Genomic DNA, 17,114 nt, shown 5'->3' with positions numbered 1-17,114 from the left:
TCAGCCTTTTACTTAGGTGTGGATTTCTTTCCTATGCTAACCACTGGTTTGGCTCTAGGCTTAGGGTTTAGAAGCCACATGGAATTACCTGAGTCTATGTTTTTTTTTCAGGCAGTGGGGCAGAACTGCCACTGGCAGGCAATTTTGAGGTTCCACAGCCTATCCAAGAAGATTTTACAAATATTATCCTTTTCCAAGATACAATTTGCCATCATGGGCACTGAATCATGCGGTAGAGTTGAGAGTCACTAGTGGAGGGAACAAGGTGTGGGGTATGTGTTTGAAGAATGTGTGATAAGAATCACCAGCAGGATTGTTTGAAACTACAGGAATATTCCAATTTCCTGTATCCCTTATGATGTACTTTGGGTGATAAGCCACACTTCCACAGGGAGATCCTGCTACTGAAAGGAGCCTGCTATATAGCTTATTGTGTTAGGGTAGGAAAAAGAGTTGAGAAGCACTGATGTAGGAAGTGTCATTCAATTTGAATATGTTTGGAGATGTTTCTAAATTACATTCATCCTCACTGTCAATAACTTACTTTCTATGAGTAACTTTAACAGGTCTACTCTCTCAAGGTGTTTAGTAGCTACAGAATAACTCTCATTTTAAGTATTTGGCAATTTTGGAATGGGGAAAGAATTAAATGGACAGAGCAACTGAATTTGTACAAGCTTTCTCTTTTCATGACAGATGCATGATATGTTTTCATGAAAATAAGGAAAATACTCATTTTTGTAAATGCCATCAATCTTTAACAGTCGAAAATCTGCTTGGCAAGAGAAGTGGTACAACTATAACCACAGAATTGTGGTTATTGTTACATTGTATTGTTTACTGTAAACCTGGTTCAATATTGGTAAATATAGTGTAGCAGAAACTGAACTGTTGTGAGCTATCTGGGCATTGGTCCAAGATATCATTAAAAATACTGCCTCAGACTAATTTGGGTTTATGAATAATATTTTGTTAACAGCTCAACTGAAATTGAGCCACATGGTGTAGCTTCAAAATTCTGAATCCACAAGATAATGAGAGTAGTTTGTGTATACAACACATTGAATATTCTATATTTGAATGAAAAATTTATACATAATTTTGTTAACCTTTAAACTGTAAGCTCCCATATGCTTAATATGATCTGATATCTTTAAAGTTTACATAATGCTGTAGTTTGCTGTGAATTTGAATGCCTTATAAACTAAAGTATTATTGGCTTAACAATCAAATCTAAAGAATAAGGAGAAGTTGCTGAGCAAATATTAAAATGGATATTCAACGCAAGTTGTGGCATATGTTTCTACAAACAGCTAGAGTTTATATTAACATTCGCCAAAAAGATTGAAGGACATAAAGTATTGGGAAAGTTCACTAACTTAATTCATTTCTTTTACTAATGAAAGGTTATTATGTCTTCAAATGGGATTTAGAGATTATTAATAGATATAGCAATGGGAATGAGCTTATGATAAGTGAGATGATTCAAGAAAAAATCTCTATATATTTCTTGCCAAGAAAAAATACATTTGTCTTTTTCTTCATGTGCTACTTTTAATTACTTTAAGTTCTTTCTGAACATACATGTATTATTAATAATTCCTATTGAAATAGTATGGGAAGGGTTTATTTTTGGTCACTGTTAGTGTGTAAGATATTTCAGCAATGGAAAGATGTGCATTATTTAAAGAATGAATTTTAATATTCCTCTTCTCAATAAATATTTTATTTGTTTTCCAGGTTAGCACTCTACGTATATGAATATCTGCTCCATGTAGGAGCTCAGAAATCAGCTCAAACATTTTTATCAGAGGTATGTTTTATATATTTTCTGTATTGCATTTTGATCTTATATAAATGAATGGAAAACACACTATAATAATTATTTGAAAAAAGTTTGTTATGTATTATATAGTGAATTCCTAGTTATCCGTATACATAGTATAGTTTTTATAGATTATGTATAAGCATTTTTATCCCCATGCCACTTCTGTGCCACTCAATCTTCTAGTCACCTTTCCAGCCATTTTCTCTTTTTAGAAATGGAAAGTAATATTAGCATGGCAACAATAATCAAGAAAGCAAATTTTAAAAATTTACTCTAAAAAATTTGTGAGAGTTATAAACCCTCAACCATATCTCTCACTCGAACAATATCATAATTTTGGAAAATGTGGATTTTGTTTATTTTGTATGGATGATCGCTGATTGATTGTAGTTAGAAAACATTTTAATAACCTTATTTCAAGTTCTTCTCTTTCTCTTCTCCACCTTCACTTTCTTTCTTTTTTTTTTTAATTTCAACTTTTATTTTAGATAAGGAGGTACTTGTGCAGGTTTGTTACATGGGCATATTATGTGATGCTGAGATTTAGGGTATAGATACTGTCACCAGGTAGTAAGCATAGCAGCCAATAGATTGTTTTTCCATTCATGTTCCCCTCCCTCCCTCTCACCTCTAGTAGTCTGTAGTGTCTAGTGTTCCCGTGTTTATGTCCATGTGTGCTCAATGTGTAGCTCCCACTTCTAAGTGAGAATGTGCAGTATTTGGTTTTCTGTTCTTGTGTTAATTTGTTTATTATTATGGCCTCCAGCTTAATCCATCTTGCTGTAAAAGACATGATTTCATTCTTTTTTAGGCTGCGTAGTATTCCATGGTGTATATGTACCCCATCTTCATCTAATCCACCACTGATAGGCACCTAGGTTGGCTGGAATTTGACCTTTCTTACAGTGGTGCTTGTTTGTCTCCTATGTATATGAGGATGATGAGGATTTTATTGAGCTCTGTTATGTGCCAGGCATACAATGTGCCAAGGTATTTTACATATATTATCTCTAATTCTTATAAGAAATTTGCATAGCAGGTTATATTCTTTCCGTTTTACTGATGAGGACAACAAGGCTCAGAGTGTTTATATAACTGGCTCATGGCCACAGAGCTTAGTGAGTTATGGAACTAGAATTCAGACTTAGGTCTATGTTAATCCCAGTGCTTTTGGTTTTTCCTCTATATCTGTGCTGTCCAATATGGTAAATACTAGCCATATATAGATTTTTGAGCACTGGAAATATGATGCAATTAAGAAGTGCTATATGTGTGAAGTACAGTATTTTAAAGACAGTGTGAACAAAAGAATATAAAATATTAATAATTTTAAAATTTTGGTCATACATTGAAGTGATAATATTTTGCCTATATTAGGTAAAATAAAATATATTACTAAAATTAATTTTACCTTTTCTTTTTAAATGTGGCTATTAAAAGTTTTTGTGGCTATTAGAAGTTTTAAATTAGATAACACATTATATGCCTGTATCAAAATATCTTATGTACCCCATAAATATATATACTACTATGTACCCATAAAAATTAAAAATTAAAAAATTTTAAATTATACATGTGGCTCTTATTTGTGGCCCATGTTTCTATTTCTGTTGGACAGTGCTGCTTGAAATCGTATTATCTCTGGTGATCTCACCAGTTTGGTCCCCAGCACATCAAGAGCACAACAGACAACTCATTGCCAATAGTTCCCTGCCTGAGGTATAGCCTTCTTGAGATTTAGCTGCAGCTCAAAGTAAACAAACGCACACAACCCTCACTCTTATTTCTAATTAACTAGTATATGTGAACTGGTAGGGCTTATTTGCAGATAAGGAATTTTAGAGGTTTAGCCAGAACATGTAAGAACTCAGTTGTTTTACTATAGAAGGAATATATGCAGTATAATAAAAATTTGATTTCAAAAGTTTATTCAAATCAAAACAAAAATTTGGTGTATCTGTGTTTCATGAAATCATTAGTTAGAAGACTTAGGGCAATGACCTTTCTAAGTCGCATTCACTGATATTATAGAAGAAGTGATTGAGATTGCAAAAAGGATGTCTTTTTGTATTCTTAACCACTGTCAACTTACAGTGTCTTAAAGGAATCTATAGTGCACTCTGGAAATTTAAAATTTTTGTTTTAATGCAGTAGAAACTTAAAAGATTTAATGATCTCCTTCCTTGTATCAAGGACCATTTTGAATTGGCTCAATTCACTTAATCCTGGAAGGTTCCCAAAACTATATTTTCTTACCAACATTGTAAGATATTAGATACAGTGATTATTAAACCTCATCAAAAAAGAAAAATGTTGCTAACTTATTCAAGGACGTTCAAGTATTTGGATTCAAATGCATTATGTGGATTAAGCAAATAACTAGATACTAGACTCCTAGGCTTTGAGCTCAGTGGAAAATGTATATACAGAATTTCTAGGACTGTTTGGTGGAAATGAAATCAGAATTTCAGAAGAGATTCACACATATTGACAAGTATTTGTCATTATTTCATTTTCTCTGGCTGCATTTTGAATACAAAAACTGAGGATTTCTCTTAATTATTAGTCTACCTCACTTTCACACGAGACGTCAAACTGAAAACGAACTATTATCACCAAGAAGACACATTATTTCTAGACTTTGGAGATAAGTGTATGTGATTTTCAGAACTATTCTTCACTATCTAGGCTGCCAAACTCTGAATGGTGCTGTAAAAATGCATTATCAATACCTAAATAACCAATGTAGGGGAATGGCTAAATTAATTGAGCTGTAAGTTTTTAATAATGTAAAATAATAAGTTAGATTAATTTGGACTTATGTAGATAGACTTCCAAAACATTGTCTAGTAAGAGAAGAAAGCCAAAGTATGCCATGTATCTGGAAACCCTAGTACATAAAGTAATACTATATATTTTTGTGGGTACATATTTATGAATATAAAGTATAGTATGAATATAAAGTATAGTAAAAGTTCTGAAAGAACTTACATGCCAGACTAGTTGTTTTGGGAGTGGGGACATTAAAGGGTTCAAAGGGATTTTATCCTTAGTCACAGAATTCTTTTAAACAAGGAATACATATATTATTTGTACAGTTATTTAAAAACAAAACTAAAGAAGAGAAAATATATTCTCGTAAATTATCTGAACTTAAAAGATGGAAGCCTGGAGATAGATTTGTGATAAGCCATTGCTGAGTACATCCTAGAGTTCTTGATAATTTCAGTTGGTTAAATTACAATAGTTTGCTATTTCCTCCCTCACATTTTATGTTCTACAGTATCTAGCTGCTTGGGTTTTCCTGTATACCATGGGGCTTCTGTCATCTGGGCTTTACTCAGTGGCATATTCCCTCTGCCTAAAACTCTCCTCCCCTCTCCACCTTAGAAGTAGCTTTTCCTAGAACGGTTTTCCCAGGGTTTCACCTAAGGTGATAGTACAATCTACAGGGACCTGCACATGAAGACCTTTGCATACATGCCAGGAAGTTGGACTTTATCTTTGGAAAAAGGGAGCCTTTGAAGGTTTTAAAGTAAAAAAAAAAAAAAAAAAAAAAAAAATGACATCATCAGGTTTGTACTCTGGTGTCTTGGTGCCCTTTTGCCCTAACCATGGATGGTAAAAAAAAAAAAAAAAAGGAGAATGTAATATTTTAGAGAATGTAATAATTTATGTTGAGGGTTGCTTTCTCTCTGAGTTTCTCTTCGATCAGGCAGAAAATTTGAGGCCGCTTATTGTAGAATGACTTCTTAACTGGTCTGAGTAGTAAAAAAACAATCTTACCTAAATCCTCCCTAGTCTACCCCCAGGTTTTTACCTAAATCAAAATAGTTCCATGGGAATGTAAAATAGGGAGACTTACTTATTTGAGTTGGTTATTATAATAAAATGGAAATGATTGAAATGGCACCAATTGTTATCAATTATTATAACATTATCCAATGTTCTCACCCTGGTTCAAGGAGAAGTAGACCACTTCTTCCAAATTTGACATTCTTCCTCTGGATAGATGAGGCTAAGAAGGACCGTGATGTTAATGAGCTCTTCTGAATCAGGTTTTACTGTGCTGGGTCACTTCTTTCATTAGTATGGGCTTGTTCTTTTGGGTGAAGTTGCGAGAAGGCCAACTGGAACTCCAGGCATTATCTGAACAAGCAAGATGTGTATCTCAGCTGCCCAATCTTGATTTTCTAAAAATGCCCTTGTCCTGGGCTATCAGAAATTGGACTGCTCTTGATGGCTTTTGTTATCAGTCAGAAGAGTGGGGCACATTATTATTAACCCAGTCATTTTTTCTTAATTAAAAGAAAAAATGGACTAACAATAGAAATAAAAACATTTCTCTAACTAGGTTGTGCCAACTAGCTCAGTGTTACCTCTGATTCATGATAGATTTTAAACCACTACCTGAATCCAAAATGTAGTTTATGTGACTTTTCATTTTTTTTTTACTCCCAAGGGGAAAAAATGGAATATTATTTAGAGATATTCTCAATACAAAGCCCTTCCTCTGCTTTTATCTTTGTTATTCTTCAACATTTAATAATTACAAACAGAATGCTAAGGAATCTTCTTTCCAATTCTACATTAACTTTTGTTACTTTAGATTCATTAGAAGCTATCCTTTTTCTGGTCATATCATTTCGTTATACAAAGATAATGGCTGCTCTTCCTTGAAGTTTTGCATGGTATTCATGTCTCAGAATGAGGCTCAATACCCTTAACAAATGAAATTAAGAATTAGAGTTTTATAAAGATTCTAGATTTTTTCCCTTTCTTAAAATTTTTGCATTATGACTACCCCTTCTTTGTCATAAGTTAGCCAACAAGTTAGCCTGAAATAGAAGCTTAAAAACATCTAAGGGATTCCTTCTTCAGATTTTATTAGGATTGCTAAATTATTGAGCATCATAGACTCCAAAACTCTGTTCTGTTTGCCTTTTACCTATATGAAGAGAGAAAATATTAATTAGTATTTCCTAACCAGTCTCTCGAACTTTAATTTTGAGGCAATATAGTATAGGAGGTAAAAGCAATTGCTTTGGGCCAGACATCCTGGGTTTAAATTATGTTCTACATCTTATTTACTTTCTCAGTTTCCTAGTTATAAGATGATGATAATTGTAACAATACTTTAGTTATGCTGTGGTTTAAATGAGTTAGTATATGCACATTGCTTATAATAGTGCCTGGCCTATAGTAAGTGTTCAAAAGTGTCATTTTAAAAAATCTTGACCAACTTTTTTTCTATCTTGTATAGTTTCTTATTTAAACAAAAATAGAGGCATAAATATGTGCCTGATGTGTACATGTGCGTTCCAAGTGTCTGTCACTTGGATGGCCCATAATCCTACTGTTTGGTGTTACTCTTTCTATAAAAATGGGTCCAGCTCTAATCCCTAATATTGTAGATTGTTGCAAGTCTTCTCCAGTATCTGTGAGCCTTTATTGGGTGCTTAGGGTTCTTGTACTGTAGGTTCTTGCTCTTGTTGAGTGATTATAGCCCCACTCTGGTTCTCCCTCTTATGGTCTATCCCTTTTTTATGCCTGAAGTTTTCTGTTTTTCTCATGATTTCAGAGGTCCACTAACTCATTGCTCTTTTGTATGAAAGATTCTCACTTAAGGTTGAGGGATAGCCAAAAAGATTAGGCATTGTACAGTATAGGCACCAACATTAACTTGAATACTAGACATAAGCTACCTTAAATTCTGTGGTCTCCTTGCTACAGGGAATTTTTCACTAAGCTGTTTTCCTCAGCATGCCTTTGCCTTCTATCTTGTTGACTTCTCATAACCTCTCTCATTTTTCCTTTTCTGAATCCTTCCAGACCCCCGAGCTTCTTCCTAAGAGACCATGAGCAACTTCCTAAATTCTTGTTACATAGAAAGTCAAGTATTTGTTTTCCTCTCTGCATTCTTCCTTTTGCACCATTCCTAGTGGCTTCTGTCTTTCTGTGTCAAAAAAATAAAAACAAAAATAGAAAGGATCCATTAAGGAGTTTTCCCAATAAGAGGTAGTCCTCTTTAGGAAGACTTCTTTCATTCTTCTAAAAGAAAGCAGCACTACTCAATAAAACTTTCTGTGATTATAGAAATGGTCTCTAATCTTTGCTGTTAAATAAGGTAGCCACTAATTATGTGTGACTATTATGAGCTTTAAATATGGCTAGTGCAACTGAGGAACATTCAGTTAACTTAATTTTAAACTGAAATAGCCACACGTGACTACCGAGTATCATGTTGAACAGCACAGTTTTAGATGATCTGCTTCAAAGTATAGTCAGCTTTTTCTTCCTGTTAAACATCTATTGCCTTTAATTTTTTGAATTAAAATGTAAAAATTTGGGCCAGGCGCGGTGGCTCACGCATGTAATCCCAGCACTTTGGGAGGCTGACGCGGGCAGATTGCATGAGGTCAGGAGTTTGAGACCAGCCTGGCCAACATGGTGAAATCCCGTCTCTACTAAAAATACGAAAATTAGCCGAGTATGGTGGTGGGCTCCTGTAATCCCAGCTACTCGGGAGGCTGAGGCAGGAGAATCGCTTGAGCCTGGGCAGTGGAGGTTGCAGTGAGCCCAGATCGCACCACTGTACTCCAGCCTGGGTGACAAAGCAAGACTCCATCTCAAAAAAAAAAAAAAAAAAAAAAAAAGAAAGGAAAAATGTTTACTTCAATTTCAACTTTTTTTACATTTGGTTTAGTATATAGATATACTCATGCTTCTATACATGAGAGATTTTAGAAAATTGGTGGGAACAGTAGGTTATGTCTAAATTAGAAGTCTCAGGAATTTAGTCTAGAAAGAAACTTACACATAGGTATACAGGTTATTTTCTTAACACAGGAATTGGTTTTATTGTTTTATGGTATTAAAAGTTATTCTTTGGATATTGGTTTAAATTAAAAATTATGAAAGGATTTATGGGTACTATGAAAAGTTTGGAACCCATCACCTTCAAACCTGCTGCTGCATTGTTGGAGATGCTGTGGAAGTGGGTCTGGATCTGCTGAAGAGGTCCCACATTGACAAGACTAGAACCCCCAAAAAGGTACTGCCGGCATCCAGAATCGTGCTATCCCGGCTTCACTTTTGGAGCCAGAGGCAGGAAGCTTCTCTTTTTCCTGTTTTTTGATCTCCTGCTAGTGTCTCCTGATGGCAGAACTTAACAGGAAGCCAAATGGCAAGGAGGTTAGGAAATGTGATTTTCAGAATCCCAGCCCCAAGTATAGAATGGAGTATAGAAGGGTGGGTGTAGGGCTGAGAGATAATAGGTAAATGACCAGTATACCTTGCCAGAAGCAAATAAGAATGAAAAATTAAGCAAATGTGTGTGTGTATACCTGTATATATTTATGTATGTACATCTATATCATTTTTTCTTTTTTGTACAAATGTTAGCTTATACACCATTCTGTGCTTTAATTTTTGTTTCACTTGTTAGATTTTGGAAATTGTGTTATATTGGTTCATGAAATGTCATAATTCTCTTTTTATGGTTGTAGCATATTTCATTCTATGAAATGTGCCATGATATAGTTCACTAGCCCTGTACTGATGGACATTTAGGTGTTTCCAGTCTCTTTCAATTAAAACAATGCTTCAATGAAAATTGTTACATATATGTAAAATTTCCCACATGTGACCATCAGATAGTATGTATTTTATAATTAAACCACAAGACATGTCTTTTTCCTATTGATATACCTTTTGTTCATGATTCAATGTTTGGTTTTACATTTATGAAGAAATGCTGAAAATGTTAGATCATATGATAAAAACAGCATATTCATAGACAAGGCCATGAAGTGCAGAATATGGCATTAGGAATGGGCCTTGAGATTTACATGAAAGTTAAAGGAGAATACAGCCCCTGGCTGGTCAAATGACAGAAGGAAGTGAGGTAGATAATTAAGCAGCAAAAAGCCTTAGGACTGGGCAAATACACATTGATGCTGGGATAATGGAAGAAAAAGAAACAGAATAAAGAGAAAATGTTATTGGCAAAGATGCCACCCAAAAACCTAAATAGGCCTGAAGCCCACGAAACTCAATACAACAGAAAATACCTCTTCAGAAACAGCAGAAAATTTGTTTTTAACATGACTGCTGACATTTAGGAATATTTTCTGGCCATTCCTCAATACCACCCATCATTAATTCATATTTGCTAAAAAACAAAATTAAACTACGTAGAATATAATTTAAAATGAAAGTCCTCCTTTTCCCTATTCCAGATAATAGTTGTAGGCTTGATGTGATTTTTAAAAATGCACACACACCTACAAGCACACATATGTATGTATACATACTTTTTTTTTTCCAAGCAGAAAGGTTTTATGCTATACATAATATTCTCCAACCTTCCAAATTTCCATCTTGAAAAACCAGTAGAGCATGATTCTCTTTCCAGGTAGCTGTATTTCATTCTTTTTAATGATAGCACACTGTTCTGTAGTATGTAAGTATCAAGATTTATTTTACAGTCACCACTAGTGAATGTTTCTCAGGCTGTTTCTAATTTTCATTTTTTTCTAACAATACTACAGTGAATGTGGTTTAGTTTTCTACAGGTCAGGATTCTATTTTGGCTCTTCTTGAGCACCATTTTATGCTTTTTTTAAACAAGTGGTATCTAGAATAGTGATCCATTTGGACTTAGCAATATTCACTGTGTAAACACAGACCATCTCTTCTGTGGACATACCTAAAACATAGCTTTAAGTGTGGTTCATTCAATAACTATAAAAGGGTGGATTTTATGTTAACTTCAGTATGATGGACGGAAGTTTTACCTGCTTCTGGCACAGACTTGTAATTTAAGGAGAGAAGGATGAATACTATGTAGTAAAAAATATTGTGAGCATGAAATGATGATATATGTGATGCTTTTTTAGTTTCTCTGAGGAATAATATGATGTAAAACTGTTTAAAATACAAATGTATTACCTCAGGCTTCTTCTCATAAAAGACCATATCAAATACAAACCATATAGGTAGTTTCCTTTAGTCCTTTATCTCCCGAGACAGCTGGAGATGGACTGTGGAAGTTGTGGAAGTGCATGAGGGGAGGCTGCTTAGTAAGGATGAGGGGCAGTGGGTCTCATAGACTGTGAGTCTAATCCTACCTCCCGCACACCCTGGCATTGAAACCTAGTCATGCCATTTTCACTCCTCCATAAGCTATGTCACATTGTTCTTTTAACTGAGTATAGTAAAATCTATTTATTTCACAGTCATATTATGTAAAGTCAAGATGAACTGAGATGAAACATAAGGACAGTACTTTGAAAAATTTGCTGGTCATATGATTAGGATGGTTCTAGTGATTAGGAATATTAGTGTGTCTGAGTACGTTGGTGAGGGTTTATTTATTCTTATGTTCTTTCAAGAAGATACCAACTAGTGAAAAAGTGGTAAGAGAAAAGTTTGAGAGAAGGATGAGACATAGGTTTTTGACTAAATTATAATTTTAGCAGGACATCAGAGTTTTTGAGAGAAGGACGAGACGTAGGTTTTTGACTAAATTATAATTTTAGCAGGACATCAGAGTTTTTGAGAGAAGGATGAGACATAGGTTTTTGACTAAATTATAATTTTAGCAGGACATCAGAGTTTTGTTTCTCATAAATCTCATTAAATATTATTTCTTATTTTTTATGAACCAAGATAATATAAAATGTCGATGAACTGAAATTATCAGATAAAAGATGGCATACATATACAAATTATTTGTATTACCACTTAGGATAATTAAAATTAGGATCTGGCCTATATTTATATGATGTGTTCTGGTTTATTGTTCATATGTAGTTTTTCTAACTTCAAGTTCCTTAATCCCTGGAATTTTTCCTTTTAGCACCTCAAAATGGCTATTACATTATTATTATTATCAATATTATTATTTTTGAGACAGAGTCTCACTCTGTCGCCCAGGCTGGAGTGCCGTGGTGCTATCTCGGCTCACTGCAATCTCCGCCTCCTGGGTTCAAGTGATTCTTCTGCCTCCGCCTCCTGAGTAGCTGGGACTACAGGCGCACACCACCATGCCTGGCTAATTTTTGTATTTTTAGTAGAGATGGGGTTTCACCATTTTGGCTTAAACTCCTGACCTCAGGTGATCCACCTGCCTTTGCCTCCCAGAGTGCTGGGATTACAGGCGTGAGCCACTGCGCCTGGCCCCATTTCTAATCTTCAAAAAATTTCTCTTATTTTTTGAGAACAAATTACTTGTTTTACTTCAAGGTTCCCATTTATTTATACTTTATGTACTTAAGAACTCTGAAAATGCAACCAATTTCAGTGATTTTAATGACACTTAACTTTTTTCATCTTTTTATTAAAGAGGATTTTTGGTTGTTTCTACATTTAGGACCACTTTCTGAGTTCCTGTTTTAAAACTTTTAAAAAGTCCTTTTGGGATAAGAATTCCTAACTTCTTACATAGTAGATGATGGAAAGAATTCCTTGAATTTTTTTGAAATCTGTAATTACAGTTGTTCACTTCTTAGTAGTATTAAGGGCCTCTGGGCATATTTTACTGATTGGGGTATTGTTACATAATTTTTATGATTTAAGCTAAAAAAACTAAGGCATATACTTATGCATAGAGTTTTTTTTTTTTGAGATCTTTCTGGATCTCCGTATTTAAAGTTGTAATTCCACTTTACTGTTTTCCTGCTCTTTCTATCCCCCTTCTCTGCTTAGTTTTCCTTCACTGCATTTGTCACCTTCTCATATAAACATAATTTACTTTTTTGTTTGTTTCTTTGTTTGGGTCTATCTTCCTTACTGAGGTGTAATTTCCCTAAAGGAAGGGATTTCTGTCTTTTGTGTTTACTGCTATCCAGTGCTTAGAAAAGGCACTGTATGAATACTTATTCAGACATCCATGCAAAAGTATTTAGTCAGAACTTTTACTTTTTTAGAGATATTGACCTTGTTTTAAATTTTTATTATAGTAAACTCTAACTTAGCTGAAATGTAAACAATTAGAAAGTTAATATCAGCAACTTTTAAAAACTCTTATTTTATGAGAGACTTATGTCTTCTTCTGCCCACACCCTCAAATCACGAATTTATTTAAAAACTCAACCCTTAAGGTATAATTTGAAGTCAAAATATTAAGCCTAATCTCTTGCAAGTTTCTGGGTGAGTGGTGATAATTGATGTTCATATTGACAGTAATAATGGTGGTTTTTTGTGCCTTAAGATCCTGAAATACCTTCTGATTCAATAAAAGAAACAGAAAGAAAGAAAAGAAAAACCTCAAAAATGGAGTTAGCTTTAGAATGATATTTTAATGGTGATCTGAATTTGGTATACATGATAACTCAGTGTAACAGGGCACTAATTCTGAAATGATTTTAAATAGAAGCTTAATTTTCTGTTTAAATGATTCATTTTTACTTTTTCCATTTATGCTAGGAGCATAGACAATTGTTGCTTAGTTCCAACTCTGATTGTTCCTTTTTCCTAGTTACATGTATGGTTTCCAGCAAGATGAAAACTATTCTGATTAGTAAGTTAAAATTGTTTGGCACAACCCTAAATACTTTGAATATTTTTATATAGAATATCACTGGAATTTTGTGGGTGCTGGTGACAATGATGATGTAATAAAGTTTTTACAGGGATACCCTCCTAGGTAAAAGAAAAAAAAAATAATAGCACCTAACAGTTACCAGGCACTTACTGCATGTCAGTTACTCCTTTTTTTTTTTTCCCTCTGAGACGGAGTCTTGCTCTGTCAGGCTGGAGTGCAGTGGTGGGATCTTAGCTCACTGCAACCTCTGCCTCCTGGGTTCAAGCGATTCTCCTGCCTCAGCCTCCAGAGTAGCTGGGCCACTGAGCCCGGCCTGTCAATTACTCTTTTTATTTTTTATTTTTTATTTATTTTATTTTTTTATTTTTTAAATCAGGTTATTTATTTTTTGCTGTTGAGTTGACTGAGTTCCTTATATACTTTGGATCCTTTTTTTTCAAATTTATTATTATTATACTTTAAGTTTTAGGGTACATGTGCACAATGTGCATGTTAGTTACATATGTATACATGTGCCATGCTGGTGTGCTGCACCCACTAACTCGTCATCTAGCATTAGGTATATCTCCCAATGCTATCTCTCCCCCCTCCCCCCACCCCACAACAGTCCCCAGAGTGTGATTTTCCCCTTCCTGTGTCCATGTGTTCTCATTGTTCAATTCCCACCTGTAAGTGAGAACATGCGGTGTTTGGTTTTTTGTTCTTGCGAAAGTTTGCTGAGAATGATGATTTCCAATTTCATCCATGTCCCTACAAAGGACGTGAACTCATCATTTTTTATGGCTGCATAGTATTCCATGGTGTATATGTGCCACAGTTTCTTAATCCAGTCTATCATTGTTGGACATTCGGGTTGGTTCCAAGTCTTTGCTATTGTGAATATCGCCGTAATAAACATACGTGTGCATGTGTCTTTATAGCAGCATGATTTATAGTCCTTTGGGTATATACCCAGTAATGGGATGGCTGGGTCTCAATTACTCTTTTAAGTGATTTTCATGTACTAACCAGTTTTTTCCTCACAACAACCTTGTGATATAGGTGACTATTATTAACCACATTTTATAGATGAGGAAACTGAGTCACAGAAGATTTAAGTAACTTTCGCAACTTCACACAGCTAGTATGTAGGAAAGTTAAAGTTTATGCCCATATCCCATTCTGCTTAAAATGAAGATATTTTTAATATTTTTACCTTATGAAAGGATATTTGAAGTGATGTATCAGTGAGAATACAGCCACACCAATTAAAAGCACGCTGAGTGTTTCAACAGAGAATGTAATATGTGGAAATAGCTAAACAGATTTTAAAGAAAGCAACAACAGCACACAGAAGTTACATAAAATCAATAATTTCAGTGAGCAATCACTAGGGCTGAGGCACCAAAAGGAAGAGCTTGTGGTTATCAAAAAAATTGGAGGAGAAATCTCAGGGAGCTGAATCTTAGACCTCTAAGGAGAGGGAGTGTGGGACTGCTGTTACTTGAAGAGCTCAAATTTACCTTTAACCTCTGAAGAGAGATATTGCCCAGCTGTGCTGATACTTCTGAGTGGCACAAAGAGACTGGTTCTGGTTGTGTGGGATAAAGCTAGAATGGAACCAGCTATTGTCACAGCTATTATCACTGGATGAACTGCTGCTGGGGTCACCCTCACAGGAATAGTAAGCTAACAGAAAACAAATCCATTTCCCCTCTTCTTACTTCCAGTCTCCCTCTAGAGCATCTCTTAGTTTATGGGACCTAACAGGAAGCCATTTAATGAAGGACAAAGGTAGTGTATGGATCTCCAGTCTCAGCATCTGAAAGACCACAGAAAGATGGATTTAAAACTGAAAGACTAGAGCTTTATAACTGGCACAGTATGAAGCAAATTCAGGAAAATAGTGGTGACATCTCTCTGAGACTAATCCAGTCAACAAATCACTTGTAAAATGAGTACTTGCAAAACTTGGGTAAAAAATATCATGAAAATGATGAAAAATTCAAATATTACTATAGTATTTTAAATGGGGATATTATTACTTTGTAATATGTGTGGAAAAAAGTATTATTAGGAAAGTAATATCTCTTTTATTCATTTTAGATAAGATGGGAAAAAAACATCACATTGGGGGAACCACCAGGATTCTTACATTCTTGGTGGTGGTAAGTATCCTTTATTCCATTTTTACTGGCTTGATGATGCATTTCAATAGGCCTGTACTATACCTGTTTATGATTTCATGCTTCCTTTTTATTTTTTCATTTTCTAAAATTTTCTGGAAGGTAGCACTTTTTAAAAAACCCTTAAAAACCAGCACTAGTGTAATTTAACTTAAATATACTACTATTGAGTTCAACTGGAATTGGAACCAGTGTGTGGAATCTCCAACTGTAAGTACAATTCTGTAACGGCTTGGGATGCCATAACAAAATACCGTAGAATAGGTGGCTTAAACAGCAGAATTTTACTTTTCACAATTCTAGAGGCTAGAAGTACAAGATAAATACCAGGATGATCAGTTTCTGGTGAGGGCTGTCTTCCTGACTTGTAGACAGTCACCTTTTCACTGTGTCCTTACATATTGGGGAGAGCAAGCTGTTTGTGTCTTTGCTTATAAGGGAACTAGTCCCATCATGATGGTCCCACTTTCATGATCTCATCTAAACCTAAGGATTTCCCAAAGACCCCATCTCCAAATACCATCACATTGGTAATGCCCACCCCCTCAAATCAGGAATTTATTTAAAAACTCAACCCTTCATTTCAATATATGAATTTGGGAGAGAGCAGGGCTTGGTAGCCTTGACTCTCTGATTGTCAAACTAGTTATAAGATTGCTTTCAGGCTGGGCTCACGCCTGTAATCCCAGCACTTTGGGAGGCCGAGGCGGGTGGATCACAAGGTCAGGAGATCGAGACCATCCTGGCTAACACAGCGAAACCCCGTCTCTACTAAAAAATAGAAAAAATTAGCCAGGCGTGGTGGCGGGCACCTGTAGTCCCAGGTACCCAGGAGGCTAAGGCAGGAGAATGGCGTGAACCCGGGAGGCGGAGCTTGCAGTGAGCCGAGATTGCACCACTGCACTCCAGCCTGGGCCACAGAGCGAGACAATGTCTCAAAAAAAAAAAAAAAAAAAAATTGCTTTCTACAAAGTGGGTTATCAAGTTGTCAATGTTAGACTTCTGTATAGGTAATTATAAGCGTTGGCATGCCATTATAGCTTCTTCAAACCCTCACTTTTCCTCTTGGGGAGATTGGGAATGGGAGATAATAATCTGATTGGCATCTTTTATGTAATAGGTCAATCTTGTTCCAAAATAACAGCTACTCATCAAACTCAAAACTCCCAAGAACAAGGGGGGAATAAGTTACAAATAAGCAGTTAGTGAAATAAGTTTATCTTCATTTTCTTGTACTGGAAAAGCATATTCATGAGAAATAGTGACCTGATACAGTGCTCAACAGATACTGAACTAATCAAATGGATTTTTTTTTTTTTGCCTCGAAGAAGTTATGTTCATACCTTTATATTTCTTTGTATTTCTGCCACATGGTAGTGGTATCTTTTAAAGTTTCATTTATTCATAGGCTTTGAGCCTGTTTCTCCATGCAAACCTAGAAGGTTTATTGCATTCTCTCAACAAATACTTACTCAGTGTCTTGTATGGGCCAGATACTATGCTTGATACTGTGGACACACCAGTGAATAAAACACACACACATCCCTACCCTCTTGTTGATAACAGTCTATAG

The 17,114-nt window shown here is 35.1% G+C and overlaps 1 protein-coding gene across 91 annotated transcripts in view; it reads left to right on the top strand.

Moving 5' to 3' along the window:
• SSBP2 (single stranded DNA binding protein 2) overlaps positions 1 to 17,114 on the top strand; it is a 339,004-nt gene that overhangs the window by 99,728 nt on the left and 222,162 nt on the right. For 76 of the 91 annotated variants that reach the window (NR_174563.1, NR_174528.1, NR_174537.1 and 73 more), the window contains 2 exons: positions 1,741 to 1,813; positions 15,462 to 15,523. Coding sequence is in view for 37 of the 91 variants with exons in the window: in NM_001400354.1 (NP_001387283.1) it covers positions 1,741 to 1,813; positions 15,462 to 15,523 (135 nt within the window). In the remaining 54 variants the exon portion in view is untranslated. Of the gene's footprint in view, positions 1 to 111; positions 273 to 1,740; positions 1,814 to 15,461; positions 15,524 to 17,114 lie in introns of all 91 variants that reach the window. The other 15 variants (NR_174559.1, NR_174539.1, NR_174533.1 and 12 more) reach the window with 3 other exon arrangements.

The sequence above is a fragment of the Homo sapiens genome, chromosome 5, assembly GCF_000001405.40.
Source record: "Homo sapiens chromosome 5, GRCh38.p14 Primary Assembly".
In the NCBI taxonomy this organism is placed as follows: Eukaryota; Metazoa; Chordata; class Mammalia; order Primates; family Hominidae; genus Homo; species Homo sapiens.
The sequence above is the reverse complement of the archived record's forward strand: the minus strand, read 5'-3'. Positions and strand labels throughout refer to the sequence as shown.